The sequence below is a fragment of the Homo sapiens genome, chromosome 17 (genome assembly GCF_000001405.40).
Source record: "Homo sapiens chromosome 17, GRCh38.p14 Primary Assembly".
Classification (NCBI taxonomy): Eukaryota; Metazoa; Chordata; class Mammalia; order Primates; family Hominidae; genus Homo; species Homo sapiens.
The window spans coordinates 17791059-17809969 of NC_000017.11; the positions used below are offsets into that span (position 1 = coordinate 17791059).

Genomic DNA, 18911 nt, shown 5'->3' on the forward strand with positions numbered 1-18911 from the left:
TCCAGGGAGAGGAGCTGGAGCAGAGGGAAAGCGGCTTTGATAAGCCGGTGGGCAGGGGCTCGCCTCGTGGGAAAGTGGCCGGCCCCCACACTGGGCTGACTCTCCTGCATTTGTGGGCCAGGGCAAGCTGACTCCAGAGAGCAGGAGAGGTGGTCCCAGGACTGGGCTGACGGGCTTCTGGGGGCCATCTGGCTGCCCTGGGCTTGCCCTGCTCTCAGGCAGATGGAGGCCCTCTGTCGCCTTCCCTGCATCCATCCCCAGACACTAAATGAGGAAGGCACTTGTGGTGGGGTCCGGGCCAAGGAAGAAGGGTAAATGGAGCAGCACCCCCAGCTCTCCCCCACTCCCCACCTTTCTGCCTCTTCCCTGTGCCCCTCCCCGACTCTGCGTGCCTCTCCCTCTCTGTGCCCCTCTCCCCCTCTCTTTGTCCCTTCCTGACCCCTTCAACAACCTGGAATCTTTGTAGCCTGAGGCAAGCCACCCCTTCCTTTTGGAGCATTTGGGAACCAGCACTGGAAAGTCCCCTATCCCCTCCTGGGGGCCTGGGCCACACAGGCCGAGCTGAGCCCCTTTCTTCCTGCCTCCGGGCCAGCATGGTTCTGGGTAAATCCCAAACCCTCTGGGACTCGGCCAATGGCCAGCCCCTCCATGCACTTCCTCCAAAACCTGGGGCATTCCTCTTTCTTCCATCCCTCTTTGAGGGGTCTTCTGGTTGGCCAGGCCAGCGAGTCAGCTGGAGGAACCTTTACCCTGGATGCTGGGCTGTCAGATGCTCTGCTCTGAGAGGCTCCCGCAACCCACCCTGGGTCCTTTCCTGACCCAGGATTCTGCTCTGCAGGCAGGGGCAGGTTAGACCCCTGCCTGAGCCCCATCCCCTAAAATCATAACCAGATGGGCTCTTGAGTGTTGCCTGCCCCAGCCCTCACCTGCTGAGGTGGGGAGGAACTGGCCAGGAGGGGACAGGGCTGTGTCGCCCCATGTGGGTGGGGCTGGGCTGTGCCCTTCCGTGGCCGTGGCCCTGGGACTGCATCTCTACTCCCATTAGTATGCACTCCCTCACTCTGGGCCACGTAATCTGTTTATGCACGTATGATATCAAAAACAGGAGGCAGGTGCTGCCGTCTTGCGTTCCTGGGAGTCAGAGGAGGGGACATTTTATGTCTACAGTGGCTTGGCAGCCCCTAATCGATGTCTGCTAGAAGGAACAGACAGATTCCAGATGGCGTGGCAGTGATAGAGGAGGTGTGTGTGTGCATGCGTGTGTGTGTGTGTGCGCGCGTGTGTGTGTGAGCATACATATGCTTGTGTGCACGCATGTGCGTGGGGACAGGGGCAGACCCTCCTCAGTCCCCAGCATGGCTGGGTCATGCTTGAACACGGTCGCGAAGGGACTAAATTACAGGATCCAGCAGGCCCCAGGGGATGAGGGAGCGGGAATTGCTCTGCTAAATGCTTTTGAGCTGTCAGGAAGGGCTGGGAGTGATGGGTGGGGGACATTGGGGAGGAGCTGGCAATGGGCGGGGGGGGGGCGGGTAGCTCCCCAGTGACCTGGCGCTGGGCAGCCGGTTTTGCCTCCCGCATCAGTGGCCGTCCTTGGCAAGACTCAGCTGCAGGCGATGTGGGAGCGGGAATTACAGAGCACACCTCCCTGACACAGAAGTTGTCAATATGCGCACAGCTGGTGGGGAGGCTCAGGCGAAGGGGGGACTATTAAGAGCTGCGCGGGGGAGCAGGCAGGGTGGGGAGGTGGGTGGGAGGGTGCTTTCTGAGGCAAAAGGAAGTGGCCCGTCTGAATCGCTCATCCTCTGCCCCCTCCCTGCCCATCCTCCCCTCCCTCCTTCCCTCCCTCCCTCCCTTCCTTTTTCTTTTCACAGATAACCAGCCCGAGTCATGCAGTCTTTTCGAGAAAGGTGTGGTTTCCATGGCAAACAACAGAACTACCAGCAGACCTCGCAGGAAACATCACGCCTAGAGAATTACAGGCAGCCGAGTCAGGCCGGGCTAAGCTGCGACCGGCAGCGGCTGCTCGCCAAGGACTATTATAACCCGCAGCCTTACCCGAGCTATGAGGGTGGCGCTGGCACGCCCTCTGGCACTGCAGCCGCGGTGGCCGCCGACAAGTACCACCGAGGCAGCAAGGCCCTGCCCACACAGCAAGGCCTGCAGGGGAGGCCGGCTTTCCCTGGCTACGGCGTCCAGGACAGCAGCCCCTACCCAGGCCGCTATGCTGGTGAGGAGAGCCTTCAGGCTTGGGGGGCCCCACAGCCACCACCCCCACAGCCGCAGCCACTACCTGCAGGGGTGGCCAAGTATGATGAGAACTTGATGAAAAAGACAGCAGTGCCCCCCAGCAGGCAGTATGCAGAGCAGGGCGCCCAGGTGCCCTTTCGGACTCACTCCCTGCACGTCCAGCAGCCACCGCCGCCCCAGCAGCCCCTGGCATACCCCAAGCTCCAAAGGCAGAAGCTGCAGAACGACATTGCCTCCCCTCTGCCCTTCCCCCAGGGTACCCACTTTCCTCAGCATTCCCAGTCCTTCCCCACCTCCTCCACCTACTCCTCCTCTGTCCAGGGTGGTGGGCAGGGGGCCCACTCCTATAAGAGTTGCACAGCACCGACTGCCCAGCCCCATGACAGGCCGCTGACTGCCAGCTCCAGCCTGGCCCCGGGGCAGCGGGTCCAGAATCTTCATGCCTACCAGTCGGGCCGCCTCAGCTATGACCAGCAGCAGCAGCAGCAGCAGCAGCAGCAGCAGCAGCAGCAAGCCCTTCAGAGCCGGCACCATGCCCAGGAAACCCTCCATTACCAAAACCTCGCCAAGTATCAGCACTACGGGCAGCAAGGCCAGGGCTACTGCCAGCCGGACGCAGCCGTCCGGACCCCAGAGCAGTACTACCAGACCTTCAGCCCCAGCTCCAGCCACTCACCCGCCCGCTCCGTGGGCCGCTCACCTTCCTACAGTTCCACACCGTCGCCGCTGATGCCAAACCTGGAGAACTTTCCCTACAGCCAGCAGCCGCTCAGCACCGGGGCCTTCCCCGCAGGGATCACTGACCACAGCCACTTCATGCCCCTGCTCAATCCCTCCCCAACGGATGCCACCAGCTCTGTGGACACCCAGGCTGGCAACTGCAAGCCCCTTCAGAAGGACAAGCTCCCTGAGAACCTGCTGTCGGATCTCAGCCTGCAGAGCCTCACGGCGCTGACCTCACAGGTGGAGAACATCTCCAACACCGTCCAGCAGCTGCTGCTCTCCAAGGCTGCTGTGCCGCAGAAGAAAGGTGTCAAGAACCTCGTGTCCAGGACCCCAGAGCAGCATAAAAGCCAGCACTGCAGCCCCGAAGGGAGCGGCTACTCAGCCGAGCCCGCAGGCACACCGCTGTCAGAGCCGCCGAGCAGCACGCCACAGTCCACGCATGCGGAGCCGCAGGAGGCCGACTACCTGAGCGGCTCCGAGGACCCACTGGAGCGCAGCTTCCTCTACTGCAACCAGGCCCGTGGCAGCCCTGCCAGGGTCAACAGCAACTCGAAGGCCAAGCCCGAGTCCGTGTCCACCTGTTCTGTGACCTCTCCTGACGACATGTCCACCAAATCTGACGACTCCTTCCAGAGCCTACACGGCAGTCTGCCGCTCGACAGCTTCTCCAAGTTCGTGGCGGGTGAGCGGGACTGTCCGCGGCTGCTGCTCAGCGCCCTGGCACAGGAGGACCTGGCCTCCGAGATCCTGGGGCTGCAGGAAGCCATCGGTGAGAAGGCCGACAAAGCTTGGGCTGAAGCACCCAGCCTGGTCAAGGACAGCAGCAAGCCACCCTTCTCGCTGGAGAACCACAGCGCCTGCCTGGACTCTGTGGCCAAGAGTGCGTGGCCCCGGCCTGGGGAGCCGGAGGCCCTGCCCGACTCCTTGCAGCTGGACAAGGGCGGCAATGCCAAGGACTTCAGCCCAGGGCTGTTTGAAGACCCTTCCGTGGCCTTCGCTACGCCTGACCCCAAAAAGACAACTGGTCCTCTCTCCTTTGGTACCAAGCCCACCCTTGGGGTTCCTGCTCCAGACCCCACTACAGCAGCTTTTGACTGTTTCCCGGACACAACCGCTGCCAGCTCAGCGGACAGCGCCAACCCCTTTGCCTGGCCAGAGGAAAACCTGGGGGATGCTTGTCCCAGGTGGGGATTGCACCCTGGCGAGCTTACCAAGGGCCTGGAGCAGGGTGGGAAGGCCTCAGATGGCATCAGCAAAGGGGACACCCATGAGGCTTCGGCCTGCCTGGGCTTCCAGGAGGAGGACCCCCCTGGGGAGAAGGTGGCCTCGTTGCCCGGGGACTTCAAGCAGGAGGAGGTGGGTGGGGTGAAGGAGGAGGCAGGTGGGCTGCTGCAGTGCCCCGAGGTGGCCAAGGCTGACCGGTGGCTGGAGGACAGCCGGCACTGCTGTTCCACCGCCGACTTCGGGGACCTCCCACTGCTGCCACCCACCAGCAGGAAGGAGGACCTGGAAGCTGAGGAGGAGTACTCCTCCCTATGTGAGCTCCTGGGCAGCCCCGAGCAGAGGCCTGGCATGCAGGACCCGCTGTCACCCAAGGCCCCACTCATCTGCACCAAGGAGGAGGTGGAGGAGGTGCTGGACTCCAAGGCCGGCTGGGGCTCTCCGTGCCACCTCTCAGGGGAGTCCGTCATCCTGCTGGGCCCTACAGTGGGCACCGAGTCAAAGGTCCAGAGCTGGTTTGAGTCCTCTCTGTCACACATGAAGCCAGGTGAAGAGGGGCCTGATGGGGAGCGAGCTCCAGGGGATTCCACCACCTCGGACGCCTCTCTGGCCCAGAAGCCCAACAAGCCTGCTGTGCCCGAGGCGCCCATCGCAAAGAAAGAGCCTGTGCCACGGGGCAAAAGCTTACGGAGCCGTCGGGTGCACCGGGGGCTGCCCGAGGCCGAGGACTCCCCATGCAGGGCACCAGTGCTGCCCAAAGACCTCTTGCTCCCTGAATCCTGCACAGGGCCCCCCCAGGGACAGATGGAAGGGGCTGGAGCCCCAGGCCGGGGGGCCTCGGAAGGGCTCCCCAGGATGTGTACTCGTTCTCTCACGGCCCTGAGTGAGCCCCGCACGCCCGGACCCCCAGGCCTGACCACCACCCCTGCACCCCCAGACAAACTGGGGGGCAAGCAGCGAGCCGCCTTCAAGTCGGGCAAGCGGGTGGGGAAGCCCTCACCCAAGGCTGCCTCCAGCCCCAGCAACCCGGCCGCCCTGCCTGTGGCCTCCGACAGCAGCCCGATGGGCTCCAAGACCAAGGAGACAGACTCACCCAGCACGCCTGGCAAGGACCAGCGCTCCATGATCCTTCGGTCACGCACCAAAACCCAGGAGATCTTCCACTCCAAGCGGCGGAGGCCCTCTGAGGGCCGGCTCCCCAACTGCCGTGCCACCAAGAAGCTCCTCGACAACAGCCACTTGCCCGCCACATTCAAGGTCTCCAGCAGCCCCCAGAAGGAGGGCAGGGTGAGCCAGCGGGCAAGGGTCCCCAAACCTGGTGCAGGCAGCAAGCTCTCTGACCGGCCCCTCCATGCGCTCAAAAGGAAGTCGGCCTTCATGGCGCCGGTCCCCACCAAGAAGCGGAACCTGGTCTTGCGGAGCCGCAGCAGCAGCAGCAGCAACGCCAGTGGCAATGGGGGAGATGGGAAGGAGGAGAGGCCTGAGGGTTCCCCCACCCTCTTCAAGAGGATGTCTTCTCCCAAGAAAGCCAAGCCCACCAAGGGCAATGGCGAGCCTGCCACAAAGCTCCCACCCCCGGAGACCCCCGATGCCTGCCTCAAGCTCGCCTCTCGGGCAGCCTTCCAGGGGGCCATGAAGACCAAGGTGCTGCCACCCCGGAAGGGCCGGGGCCTGAAGCTGGAAGCCATCGTGCAGAAGATCACCTCGCCCAGCCTCAAGAAGTTCGCATGTAAAGCGCCAGGGGCCTCTCCTGGTAATCCTCTGAGCCCATCCCTTTCCGACAAAGACCGTGGGCTCAAGGGTGCTGGGGGCAGCCCAGTGGGGGTGGAAGAAGGCCTGGTAAATGTGGGCACCGGGCAGAAGCTCCCAACTTCTGGGGCTGATCCGTTATGCAGAAATCCAACCAACAGATCCTTAAAAGGCAAACTCATGAACAGTAAGAAACTGTCTTCTACTGACTGTTTCAAAACCGAGGCCTTCACATCCCCGGAGGCCCTGCAGCCTGGGGGGACTGCCCTGGCGCCTAAGAAGAGGAGCCGGAAAGGCCGGGCAGGGGCCCATGGACTCTCCAAAGGCCCGCTGGAGAAGCGGCCCTATCTTGGCCCGGCTCTGCTCCTGACTCCCCGAGACAGGGCCAGTGGCACACAAGGGGCCAGTGAGGACAACTCTGGTGGAGGAGGCAAGAAGCCAAAGATGGAGGAGCTGGGCCTGGCCTCCCAGCCCCCGGAGGGCAGGCCCTGCCAGCCCCAGACAAGGGCACAGAAACAGCCAGGCCACACCAACTACAGCAGCTATTCCAAGCGGAAGCGCCTCACTCGGGGCCGGGCCAAGAACACCACCTCTTCACCCTGTAAGGGGCGTGCCAAGCGACGACGACAGCAGCAGGTGCTGCCCCTGGATCCCGCAGAGCCTGAAATCCGCCTCAAGTACATTTCCTCTTGCAAGCGGCTGAGGTCAGACAGCCGGACCCCCGCCTTCTCACCCTTCGTGCGGGTGGAGAAGCGAGACGCGTTCACCACCATATGCACTGTTGTCAACTCCCCTGGAGATGCGCCCAAGCCCCACAGGAAGCCTTCCTCCTCTGCCTCCTCTTCCTCATCCTCGTCCTCGTTCTCCTTGGATGCAGCCGGGGCCTCCCTGGCCACACTCCCTGGAGGCTCCATCCTGCAGCCGCGGCCCTCCTTGCCCCTCTCCTCCACGATGCACTTGGGGCCTGTGGTTTCCAAGGCCCTGAGTACCTCTTGCCTTGTTTGCTGCCTCTGCCAAAACCCGGCCAACTTCAAGGACCTTGGGGACCTCTGTGGGCCCTACTACCCTGAACACTGCCTCCCCAAAAAGAAGCCAAAACTCAAGGAGAAGGTGCGGCCAGAAGGCACCTGTGAGGAGGCCTCGCTGCCGCTTGAGAGAACACTCAAAGGTCCCGAGTGTGCAGCTGCCGCCACTGCCGGGAAGCCCCCCAGGCCTGACGGCCCAGCTGACCCGGCCAAGCAGGGCCCACTGCGCACCAGTGCCCGGGGCCTGTCCCGGAGGCTGCAGAGCTGCTACTGCTGTGATGGCCGGGAGGATGGGGGCGAGGAGGCAGCCCCAGCCGACAAGGGTCGCAAACATGAGTGCAGCAAGGAGGCTCCGGCAGAGCCCGGCGGGGAGGCCCAGGAGCACTGGGTGCATGAGGCCTGTGCCGTGTGGACCGGCGGCGTCTACCTGGTGGCCGGGAAGCTCTTTGGGCTGCAGGAGGCCATGAAGGTGGCCGTGGACATGGTAAGAGGCCAGCCCAGCCAGGGTGGGGAGTGTGGGGTTCCAAAGGACAGGCAGGCAGGCAGTCGGGGAGCCCCTTGTTTCTAGTGCTACAGTGTGGGCCAAATGTGTCTGCAGTCTCGGGACAATCTGCAGAGTCCTGAGCCTCTCTGGGGTGTGTGGGGGAAGTGGAGGCACCCATCTGGCTAAGGCAGGTCACACTCACCTACCCTGTCCCAGGAGACTTCCCGCCGGGGCCCGTATGCCCAGCCACCGCCACTCTCCCACTCACCTGGCATCTTCAGGCTCCAGCCCCACCCAGAATCCACTGGGCCCCTCCCCATGCTGTCACCGGAGATGCCAAGGCCCAGAGAACACGAGGACTCCCAAGATTGAACATCAGGGCTGCCCCGGGCGGTGCAAGAGCAAGTTGCCCACCCTCTGTTCCTGTCTCCATTGCCTCTGGGATGAAGCTAAGGGCTCAGGAAGACCCTCTCTGGCGACACAGGCTTGGTGCATGGACCCAGTCACAGGGTTCCTCCCTCTGCAGGACAGTCCATGGGGTCACACAGTCACAACAGGCAGGGCGGGGCAGATCCAGACCCTCTCACCATTGGCTCTGAGACCAGCTTTGGAAGCCATAGTCACTGAGCACCAACATGAGAGAGGGAACTCTGGGGCTGTGCCGCCATGCACCTTTGGGGCTGTGACCTGCCCTCTCTGTGCCTCCGTCCCCTCGCCCCTAACGTGGGTATGAGGGTGCCCATGGAGGAGGGGTCGGGAGGGTTAAAAGGTGGGCACCTCTGAGCCCACCGAGCACAGCAGCCCTGTGATAGTCAGTGCAGAGGGGCCTGGTGGCTCTGGTGACAGCAGGGTGACGTTCTTCGTGGTGTCACCACTTCCCCAGTACCATAGAGTACCTCTGTGCCCTTCTGAGGGAGGGGTCAGTGGGGGCGGTGGGGTGCACCTCTCCCCCGGGGCCATGCTTCTGCCCCCACATTCAACCCCGACTCCACTGCCTCATCCAGACTTCCGTGGAGTGACGCTCCCGGCTCTCAGCGCTGTGTGGTGGCTCTCAGTGGGGACGCCTGCAGCCTTCTCTGGCCCCTGCCCTGAGTCCCATCCCCTCCACTCCTTCCTTCAACCCACTATGTGCGGCTGAGGTCACAGGGGAGCCAGAGGGGCTTGGCAGGGGTCTCCAGAGGCCCTGGACAAACACTGCCTGCATCTGAGTGATTCAGTGACCCAGCACAGTGGCCCCAGCCGGTGGCTTCGCCCCTCCCCCTGCCCAGCCTCCTCCCCCGTCGCTGCACTGCCCACCTGCTCCTCGCAGTACACCCCTGCAGCCCCTCTGAGCAGCCCCTGCTCCTGACAGTTGCCGTGGCATTGCCTGGCCAAACCAAGGTCCCGGTGGGGGCCCACTGTGTTTGCCACCCACGCCTCCTAGTGTGTGTCTTGGGCACCTGCTTCCCACTGCCCATGGGGATGGCTGGAGACCTTCTCCACGCCCAGACGCCCTGCCCACCTCACTCCACCCTCCACCTCAGAGGAAGGCTGGCCCCGACAGGACTCCTGCAGGTTCCTGGTGCCGCGGGCCTTGCTTACCCAGCAGATGGTGGCCTTGGGCCTCTTCCCTCTCCCCTTCCCAGTTAGTGATTTTTTGCCTCTCTCCTGCTTTCTGTCTCTCTCTGTCTCTCTCTCTCTCTCTCTCTCTCTCTCTCTCTCTCTCTCTCTCTCTCATTACTGGCTCCTTCCCAGCGCCTTGAAACAGGTTCAAGTCTCTCCCGTCATCAAAAAATAATAACCCTCAGATCACCAGCCCCAGCTGGCTGCCACCTCCCCTGCTTCACAGCCCCATTCCTGAAAGCCTTGTCCCCACGGCATCCTCGGTCCCGCAGCCTCACCAGGGGCTCCCCGACACTCACGTCCCACCAGGCTGAGATCAGGTCGTCTCCACATCCCCTGCAGCCAGCACTGGCCGGCCGAAGGGAGGAGGGGTCAGCCCCGAGCACCGACCACCCCATCCTGTCCCTGGCCCATGGGTGTCTTAACCGCCCATGCACACACAAGGTCCTGCTGGACTGAGGAGACAGTGTGTGTTGGAGAGGCGCTAGCTTCCCTACACCACGCGGGGGCTGGAACTTGCCAGCCCAGCCCATGCCTGTCTGCTGTGCCATGCTCCAGAAATGGCCTGACAGCCTGCGCAACTAGGGCTGCCCCGGGAAGGTCGGAACCAGGAACACCCTGCCAGACAGATGGGACATCCTGGGAGAATGGGCAGAGTCTGGGGCTTCCCAGGGTCACTTTTGGCTCACCACCCCTTCCTGCCTCAGTGGCTTGGGGGCGCCATGCTCCTTGGAGTGAGACCCTGGTTCAAATCCCAGCTCTGCCGAGGGCTGGTTCCATAGCTCCAGGCGAGTCACGCATGCTCTGAGAACTCCACAATGTCAAACCCCGTTAGCAGGATTGTGGGGTTCTGTGGATCATGTGGGACCTGCCTGGCATGTGGAAGGGGCTTGGGGTGCAGCTGTGTCCCTGGCCCCAGCACTGCCACACCCCTCGGTACCTTGACCTCACTTTTGCGCTCTGGAGGGCAGAACCTCTGAGCCAGCTCTCAGGGATACCTTTTTTCCTCGATGGCCTTTTCTGGGAACTGCCCTCGCCTGCTATCTCTGAGCCCTGCCTGCCCTTCCCCCAAAGCCATCATAGACCCCTACCTCCTATCCAGATGGAGCCTGGCCATGGAATGCTTGGGGTGAGAGGGACCCATAGCGGGCTCCGGGCATTGTTAGGGGGCTAGGTGGTGTCTGCAGAGGCCCCACCTGTGGCAGGGTTTACATGCCGCCACCCCTGCCCTCCTCTTGGGTAGCTGGGGTCAGAAGGGCCTGAGGCCTCACTCTCTCTGCATCTTAGTTTCTTCACATCTAAAATGCTATTCATATGCCTGCCTGAGGGTGGTTGGGGCCTCCGTGCAGTAAGTGGAGAGAAGCCTTCAGCCAGAGGACCCCCATATGCTTAAACATCCAGACACCAAGGGCCACTCACAGACAGCAGCCGGCTTGTGTTTCGTCATCCCTTTTGGGTCAGGAACTGGGGACGCTGGACTCCAGATCTCCAGGAGGCCATCCCAGACTAGGCGGGAAGGAGGCCTCAGCCCTGAGCTGAAAACCTGAAATTCTAGAATAAACCCCAGGCCCCACTCCCAGCATGGGCAGCGGGGAGGGGAGTGTTCTGACATTTCTCAGCTGCTGTGGTTGGGATGGTGCGCCCACCCTGAGCATGTGGGGTCCTGTGGGCCCCTACTCCAGCCTGGAGGCAGCTGCAGGGGTCAGAGACCAGCCTGGAGCCCTCGGGCAGGTTACTCAGCCTCAGCTCTCATTGGTAACCCAGGTAAAATAACAGTAATCCCATCATAAGGTTGCTGTGGGCATGAGGCTTCCAGCCATGCCTGGCACATAGGAAGCTATTGTCGTTTGTTTCACTGGCTTCGCACTTGGGCAGAGGCCGCCGCCCTCTCTGCTGCCTTCTCTACCTCACCCCCCGCCCCCAGCACGGTGGCACTGTGGCTCTGGCGCCTGGTGACTTCTCCCTCCCCGGCCTCAGGTTTGCTTCACTCTTCCAAGGGCCTTCTTGGTGTGACTGTCCTGTCCTGGCCACGTCCACTCCAAGCAGCTGGTCCAGGTGTGGGGCAGCCCCCAAGCTCAGCAGAGGACAGTTTTGAGACTTAGAGGAGGACGGCATCAGATTTACATGAAGTCAGCCATCTCAAGGGATTACCACGTCACCGCCTCCTCTCACAGGTCTGAGAGCTGGTCCCCTGGAGGGTGCAGGTCTCATCCTAGGTAGAACAGTCCCAGCCTAGCTTCAAAGTGCTCCTGCTGCCAGAAAGGGTAGAAAACCATGCTGAATGCCTTCACTGTTGCCTGGAATGGGAGCCTCAGTTTCACCATCTGTAAAGTGAGATTAATGAAAGGGACCCACAGAGGGCTGTTAGAGCCAGTAGGCGGCCAGGCGCGGTGGCTCACGCCTGTAATCCCAGCACTTTGGGAGGCTGAGGTGGGCGGATCACGAGGTCAGGAGATCGAGACCATCCTGGCTAACACGGAGAAACCCCGTCTCTACTAAAAATACAAAAAATTAGCCTGGCGTGGTGGCGGGCACCTGTAGTCCCAGCTACTGGGGAGGCTGAGGCAGGAGAATGGCGTGAACCCGGGAGGCGGAGCTTGCAGTGAGCCAAGATTGTGCCACTGCTCTCTAGCCTGGGCAACAGAGCAAGACTCCATCTCAAAAGCAAAAGAAAAAAGAGCCAGTAGGCCAGGCGCTATGTCTTACACCTGTAATCCCAGCACTTTGGGAGGCCTAGGCAGGCAGATCACCTGAGGTCGGGAGTTCGAGACCAGCCTGGCCGACACAGTGAAACTCCGTCTCTACTAAAAATACAAAAATTAGCTGGGCATGGCAGCACATGCCTGTAATCCCAGCTACTCGGGAGGCTAAGGCAGGAGAATCACTTGAACACAGGAGGCAGCGGTTGCCGTGAGCGGAGATCACACCATTGCACTCCAGCCCCGGGGGGACAGAGTGAAATTCTGTCTCAAAAAAAAAAAAAAAAAAAAAAAGCAAGCCAGTGGGCAAGGACACACACCACGCCCAGCACACCAGAAGCATGCAGCAGATGCTGGCTGGTAGCCACAGCCATGGTAGTAACTGGCATCACTGGCCCAAGGGGGTCTCCCTACCCAATGTACCAGCCCAGAGGGTGCTAAATGACCCATGTTTGTGGGCATGTGTACCCCAGTGCTGAACCTCCTTCTGGTAGATTTTCAAGCACCATTTTGGAGAAGGGAGGCAGGGACCACAGGGGGCCAGCCAGCCTGTACAGGTTTTTTGTGTTTTTTTTGTTTGTTTGTTTGTTTGTTTTTTGAGGCAGGGTCTCACTCTTGCCCAGGCTGGAGTACAGGCAGTGGCGTCATCTCGGCTCACTGCAGCCTCAACCTCCCAGGCTGCAGCAATCCTCCCACCTCACCTTCCTGAGTAGCTGGGACTACAGGCACACACCACCAACCCTCACTATTTTTTGTAGAGACAGTTTCACCATGTTGCCCAGGCTGGTATCAAACTCCTGGACTCAGGCGATCCTCCCACCTTGGCCTCCCAGAGTGCTGGGATTACAGGCATGAGCCACTGCACCTGGCCTACCAGCCTGTAAAGCTTGAGGGCTGGGCTCCAACTGGAGACTCACCTGCCTTTCCTTTCTCTTCATCAGATGTGTTCCAGCTGCCAAGAAGCCGGGGCCACCATTGGGTGCTGCCACAAAGGATGCCTCCACACCTACCACTACCCGTGTGCCAGCGATGCAGGTACGAGCCCGCCCAGGAACAGGAGGGCATTGGAGCCCATCCAAGCAGTCCAGGGGGACCCTCCCTGGGCACAGCTCCCCAAACCCAGGCCCCATCTCACTCTTCAGTTTCCCTCCTCTCTTGCCCCAGCAATTCTTTTATCCTTCTGTCTGCCTAGACCTCTGCTGGGCAATGCCAGGGACATGGAAATGAGGCATTCCCCAGGCACCTGCTTGAGGAGTGCCCAGAGCAGTGAGGGAAGATAGAAGCATAAATTACAATGTGGAATGCTGTCTGCGGAGCCATCATTGCCAAGGGGCAGGGAGGATCTCAGGCCTCAGAGAGAAAGGGGTATTGGAGGTTGGGCCTTTGAAGGATAAATAGGAGTTCACTCAGCAGAGACAAGGGGAAAGGCACTACTACAACAGCAAAAACCAACTGAGTTGGGGGTGATGAGGTTCAAAACAGACTGAGACCCATGGAGCAATTGTGGAAGTTTTGAAGCAGGGTAATGGGGTATGGAGGTAGGCCCAGGCTCCCCGCATCCTCTCCCCGGTCCTTCCTCTCACTCATGTATTCATTTGTTCCGCAAGCATTTGTTGAGCCCCTACCATCACTGGGCACACAGAATGACCGTGCATGGGCTGGAGCCACCCAAGAGCCCTTACCTTTATCGACCAGGTGGGGAAACTGAGGCTCAGAGACATTCCTTATTTCATCCAGAGAAAGCAATTGCTTATGGTACAATATTAGTCATTGGGGACAACAATATTTTGGGAGATATGGGGCCAACTTTGGCCTGGATTCAAACCCTAGTGGTGGGGGGTGGGGTGGTTTTCGTTCTTGTTTGAGACAGAGTTTTGCTCTGTCACCCAAGCTAGAGTGCAGGGGTGCAGTCGTGGCTCACTGCAGCCTTAACCTCCTGGGCTCAATCATCCTCCCACCTCAGCCTCCTGAGCAGCTGAGACCACAGATGTGCGCAGCCATGCTGGCTCCTAGTAGTGTTTTTATTTTTATTTATTTATTTATTTATTTATTTATTTATTTATTTTTGAGACGGAGTCTCACTCTGTCACCAGGCTGGAGTGCAGTGGTGCGATCTTGGCTCACTGCAACCTCCGCCTCCCGAGTTCAAGCGATTCTCCTGCCTCAGCCTCTCAAGTAGCTGGGACTACAGGCGTGCACCACCACGCTCAGCTAATTTTTGTATTTTTTGTAGAGATGGGGTTTCACTGCTTTGGACAGGATGGTCTCCATCTCTTGACCTCGTGATCCGCCCGCCTCAGCTGCCTAAAGTGCTGGGATTACAGGCGTGAGCCACTGTGCCCGGCCCCTAGTAGCGTTTTTAATGTGTGGTCTTGAGCAAGTTGGTTGATACCTCTGCACACAGTTTCCCTACCTGTATGATGGAGATGATAATAGCCCCTTCTCTGCAGAGCTGCTGGGAGGAGAGTGAAATAATGAACACTACCCACACGGTGCTGCCTCAGTCCTATTTTGGGTCCAGCCTCTGTGACCTCTCCCCACACGGTGCTGCCTCAGTCCTATTTTGGGTCCAGCCTCTGTGACCTCTCCCCGTCACCCTCAATCCCTCCCAACTCTGGCCTGGAAAGAGGCGAAGTCATAACCCACCTCCCAGTGGACAGAGTCCAGGCCCCCCCAGGCTCCCGTCGCTCTCCTAGCAGCCCCAGCTACTGCCTCCCGTCCTCACCTGATGCCCTGCTGGCTTTGCCTGGACAGGGGACCACAGCCTGTACCCCACCTGCCTGGTGGGTCCCCAGCCAGTGTCAGCCCAGCCAAGCTGCCCCAGGGAGGACACAGAGGACTCTGAGTGCTGACAGTTGCTTGGCAGGGGCTGAGCTGCCGGGACCCAGCGGGGAAGGGGCTTGCTGGAGCAGGGACGTGGAGGATTCTCACTGGCTTCACGCTCCCACTCTGAGCAGTGTGAGCCAGAGTTTAACATGGACCCTGCCACTTGCCCAGGCATGTGGCCGCACTCCCCATAATAGCTGCCACGAGTCACATTCCTCCTTCCACAGTGATTAACTTAGCGCCCGCTCCACTCCCAGCCCTGCTACAGAACCATGTTGTTTCCAGCCATCTTCACAGATTGGCTGCCTCACCCACAGCACACAGCATGGCGTGGACAGTCCCAGGACTTAATGCCTTGGCTTTCTTGCTCCATGTCCTATGTTCTTTCTCCTACCCCAGCACTGCCCAGCCCCCCAAGGGGCTCACCCTTGAGTGGGACGGACAGCAAAACTGTGGTTCTTGGCCACAGTTAGGGAGACCAGACGGGAAGGAGAGAGTATGCACTGTGGAAGAGGTTCATCCTGTCTGAACAAGGGAGAAATCTAGGAAGACTTCCAGGAGGAGGTGACATTTAAGCCAGGCCTCAAAAGATCGGGGGAGCTTTGTAGCAACTGTTTAGTGGTGGGACTTGTATACTAGGCTTTGAGCAAGAGAACTTTTATTTCAGATAAAATCCTAGAAGGATTCCTCATATAACAGGGATCCCTGTAGCACCGTGAAGATTGAGGCAGGAAAGGGACTGGGAATGCTGCAAATGGAGACATACACCTCAGAGACTGAGTTGGCACAGAATCCATGGGACTTGATGATGAGGGAGAGGGAGGTGACAAGCCTGATGCCCAGCTTCCCCATGAAGGGGAGAAGTAGGGTGTGGACGTGCAAATGGAGTATTAGCTGCTGCTGCAGAGCTACTGGCCCTTCCAGGCCCAGCTTCATGTCTCCAGCACCAGCCCTTCATTAGTTCTCAAAAGGGCGTGAGTTGGCTGCAGGCTCTGCTGGGAGCAGGATGATCTAGGGTGGCCCCAGCTGTGCCAGCTTGTCTTTGCTCCATCAATCTCTCATCCTCCAGCAGGCTGGCCTGGGTGCGTCCTCATGGCAGCCCCAGGGCTTTGAGAGAGTGGAGGTCACAGGGCCACTCACAGCCTAGGTCCTGGACTTTACCACGTTCTGTTAGCCAAAGCAGGTCCCAAGTCCAGCACAGAGAAGTGCAGGCCACCTGGGGTGAGCTGCAGAGCCACACCACAAAGGACCTGGGTGCGGGGAGGGGACTGGGCTGCTCTGCCAGGCCATCTACACACACGGCAGTTCCCTTTGGCCACACGGCAGTAGAGGCAGCTGTGGACATACAAAGTGTAGATAGCTGGGCTCAGGATCGAGTCTCGCCCACCATCAGCAGGCGAGGGCTCATCAGAGCCCTGGAAGGGACAAAATAGCAGGGTTGTGTTCACCATGGAACAGCTGGCTGAGGAGGAGGGTGGACCCCTGGGAAACTGAGGAACAGCTGCCAGAGAAGGCGAGGGAGAACAAGTGAGCTCGAGAGTGAAGGCGGGGAGGACGGGCGCTTGGGGTGCAGGGAGGGCCCCCAGCGTGACTCTGCCAGCCAGGCGGTGGGGGGGGCGGGGGGGTGGGAGTGAGAGGGCACTGAGGGAGTGGGCTGGTCAGGCTGATCTGATGTCTGGCCAGGGAGGAGCCCCAGGCCTCTGTGTCAGGCACTGGGACTGCAGGGCACCAGGGCTGCCCACTGGCTGCCAGCCTCTGCCCTGCACTGCGCTGTCCTGGCCTACTCATCCTGCCCCCTTCCAATTCTTGTTAAGGAACCCACTTTGGAGACAAGCAGTGACTGAAGAGCAGGCAGAGGCTGCTACACCACAGTGTCCTGTCTCAACCTTTCCCCACTCAGGCCCTGGGGCCAACCTGTCAGTGAGTGCCCAGGTTCCCCAGGTGCAGGCACCAGGTCAGGAGCCAGATCACTGAGGACTGGCCTTGCCCAGTGACTCCCGCCCCGTGCCCCATGTGGGGTGGTGCTGGGGCAGTGCTGAGGGAGCCAGTTTGGAAGTGGCGACCTCCTACCCTCAACTTCCCTTGGTGGGAGTGCCCGCAGCTACCCAGGCGTGCCAGGGGCAGGCCTGGGATTTTAGCCTAGTGTCTTTGGAATATCTAGTTCAGCCCCAGAACCACATCTGGCTTGCCTGAGCCAAGGGAAGGGGAACAGCCGTGGCACATCTCTAGCTGCTGGCCCTGAATGGCAGTTTCCAGGTCCGTGGCACTCCAGCTTCTGGAGACAAGGGCAGATCGCCTCAGAGAGGCCTGCTACCACCCAGCCCTGCCCTCAGGGCTGCAGAGCTGTCCCTGCCCTGCCTTCTGGCCACCACCCTGTCATGATGCCATTGCACAGAGCCACCTCCAGTGTGAACAGGAAGATTGTGTTGGAGAGAGCACCAGCCTCCAGCTACTTTTGGGTCTGGGGTTTGTTCAGAACAGTGGCTGGTGAGGCTTTGGGGGAGGGGAGCCGAGAAGGGGACTAGAGACTGGGGGGTCCCTGGGGGAAAAGCCAGCTTCTCCCTAGGTGGCAGTAGGCAGGGGAGTGGAGACTCCCTGAGATAGCAACACCTCCTGGGCCTAGGTGGGCATAAGCACTGGCCATGCTTGGTTGTCCTCTCTGCCCCTGCCTCCTGCGCCCACTGCATGCCACACATGTGCAGGGTGGTTTATTTTTAAATTTTATTTTATTTTATATTTTATTTTATTATTTTATTTTATTTTATTTTATTTTATTATTTTATTTTATTTTATTTTATTTTATTTTATTTTATTTTATTTCATCTCAGACAGGGCCTGGCTGTGTTGCCCAGGCAGGGGTGCAGTGGTACAATCACAGCTCACTGCAACCTCCGCCTCCCAGGCTCAAGTGATCCTCCCGCCCCAGCCTCTCGAGTAGCTGGGACTACAGGCATGCGCCACCATGCTGGCTAATTTTTGTATTTTTGATAGAGATGAGGTTTTGCCATGTTGCCCAGGCTGGTCTTGAACTCCTGGGCTCAAGCGATTCATTCACCTCATCCTCCCAAAGTGCTGGGATTACAGACATGAGCCACTGCTGCTGCCAAGATGGTTTCTATACACTCCCATCCTCAATCTCCATGATAGGCATACAGTAGGTGGCATAATGCCCATTTTACAGATGTGGAGACTGAGGCTCAGAGAAGTAGCAGATGCTCAAATCCAGGCTTGCAACACCACTACCAGTCCGTCCACAGGGGTTCATGACATGCTCACTGGAAGTTAGTGAGCTCTTCCAGGGGCTGGGCATACATCCAGGGAAGAAGACAGAGCTGGTGCCCTCTGGGAGCTTGCCTGCCAGTGGGGAAGAAACAAGGAGCAAGACAAGATCACACAGGCCAGTCTCTTAGGAGGCAGTGACAAGTGTGGCTGGCAGAGTAAGGCGGGAGGGAGGGAGGGACTGAGGGACTGCCTCAAGTGAGGAGGGGCGGCACGTGGAACTCAGGGGGAAAAGCTCTCCGCGGAGGAGGTGAGGTGAGTCAAGACTGCCAGGCCAGGGGCCGCACCCGCGCCGTGGAGTGGAGTGGAGTGTGGAGGGTTTTGTGCAGAATCTGATTAACTCTTTGAAAAGAGCCCCTGCAGTCTGGAGCCTCGCGGGCAGTGCGGCTCCCCTCCTGGCTGCAGACAAAACCCCACAGCTGTGGGGCCCCCACCCTGTCCTAACCACCGAAACTTCTCTTTGGTCACAGGTTGCATATTCATCGAAGAGAACTTTTCTTTGAAATGTCCCAAACATAAGGTAGGGGACCACAGTGTTTTGTAGGGCGAGGGGTGTCAAGCGGGAGAGGAGCCCCACCTCGCACCTCCTTCACAGTCCCCTGGGCCCCCTTGGCTGCGCAGCCCCGCAGGGCCCAGCCCTAGGGGAGGGAGCTCTCCCCGCCCACCCCCAGGAGCCCCCGCCGCCGTCCAGCTCAGGTCCCTGTCCACTTGCGCGCCGCCGCCGCCGAAAACCCGCAGGCGTCGGGGCATGGGCAGCCAGGGGCTGGAGGGCGTCCCTGGGACGGCCTCCCTGCAGCTCCCCAAGATAGGTGACAGAGTGGGGCAGGCGGGGGCGCGGGACGGTGGCACGGAGCTGAAGGCGAAGGTGAAGGTGAAGCTGGACGGGGTGGGGCCAGAAGGGGTGGTGCCGACGGCCTCGGGCGGAGACCCCAGCCGCGCTCTGGGGTCGCCTGGGTCTGGGGCTTAGGCGGGGGGCCCACACTGGGGGCGGGGCCTATGGACTGTGAAGTCCGAGGTCGTCGGTAACTGGCGGGCGGGCGTCTTTTGCAG

The 18911-nt window shown here is 60.2% G+C and overlaps 1 protein-coding gene across 8 annotated transcripts in view, besides 6 other annotated features; it reads left to right on the top strand.

Annotated features, from left to right (window-relative positions):
- Window positions 1-18911, top strand: part of RAI1 (retinoic acid induced 1) — a 129996-nt gene that overhangs the window by 109601 nt on the left and 1484 nt on the right. For all 8 annotated transcript variants that reach the window (XM_047435151.1, XM_047435152.1, NM_030665.4 and 5 more), the window contains 3 exons: window positions 1875-7455; window positions 12698-12791; window positions 18332-18381. In XM_047435151.1, coding sequence (XP_047291107.1) covers window positions 1891-7455; window positions 12698-12791; window positions 18332-18381 — 5709 coding nt within the window. In that variant the 5' untranslated portion in view covers window positions 1875-1890. The remainder of the gene's footprint in view (window positions 1-1874; window positions 7456-12697; window positions 12792-18331; window positions 18382-18911) is intronic.
- Window positions 1950-2676: an enhancer, noted in NCBI's record as "H3K27ac-H3K4me1 hESC enhancer chr17:17696322-17697048 (GRCh37/hg19 assembly coordinates)". NCBI's record gives its function as "activates a minimal SCP1, AML or CMV promoter by ChIP-STARR-seq in primed H9 embryonic stem cells {active_cell/tissue: H9 hESC(primed)}" and the evidence as "EXISTENCE:reporter gene assay evidence [ECO:0000049][PMID:30033119]".
- Window positions 2677-3401: an enhancer, noted in NCBI's record as "H3K27ac-H3K4me1 hESC enhancer chr17:17697049-17697773 (GRCh37/hg19 assembly coordinates)". NCBI's record gives its function as "activates a minimal SCP1, AML or CMV promoter by ChIP-STARR-seq in primed H9 embryonic stem cells {active_cell/tissue: H9 hESC(primed)}" and the evidence as "EXISTENCE:reporter gene assay evidence [ECO:0000049][PMID:30033119]".
- Window positions 9641-10430: an enhancer, noted in NCBI's record as "H3K27ac-H3K4me1 hESC enhancer chr17:17704013-17704802 (GRCh37/hg19 assembly coordinates)". NCBI's record gives its function as "activates a minimal SCP1, AML or CMV promoter by ChIP-STARR-seq in naive H9 embryonic stem cells {active_cell/tissue: H9 hESC(naive)}" and the evidence as "EXISTENCE:reporter gene assay evidence [ECO:0000049][PMID:30033119]".
- Window positions 10431-11218: an enhancer, noted in NCBI's record as "H3K4me1 hESC enhancer chr17:17704803-17705590 (GRCh37/hg19 assembly coordinates)". NCBI's record gives its function as "activates a minimal SCP1, AML or CMV promoter by ChIP-STARR-seq in naive H9 embryonic stem cells {active_cell/tissue: H9 hESC(naive)}" and the evidence as "EXISTENCE:reporter gene assay evidence [ECO:0000049][PMID:30033119]".
- Window positions 15617-15911: an enhancer, noted in NCBI's record as "tiled region #10333; HepG2 Activating DNase matched - State 5:Enh". NCBI's record gives its function as "activates a minimal TATA promoter and a strong SV40 promoter by Sharpr-MPRA in HepG2 cells {active_cell/tissue: HepG2}" and the evidence as "EXISTENCE:reporter gene assay evidence [ECO:0000049][PMID:27701403]".
- Window positions 17984-18033: a silencer, noted in NCBI's record as "silent region_8256". NCBI's record gives its function as "represses an Ori minimal core promoter by ATAC-STARR-seq in GM12878 lymphoblastoid cells {active_cell/tissue: GM12878}" and the evidence as "EXISTENCE:reporter gene assay evidence [ECO:0000049][PMID:35858748]".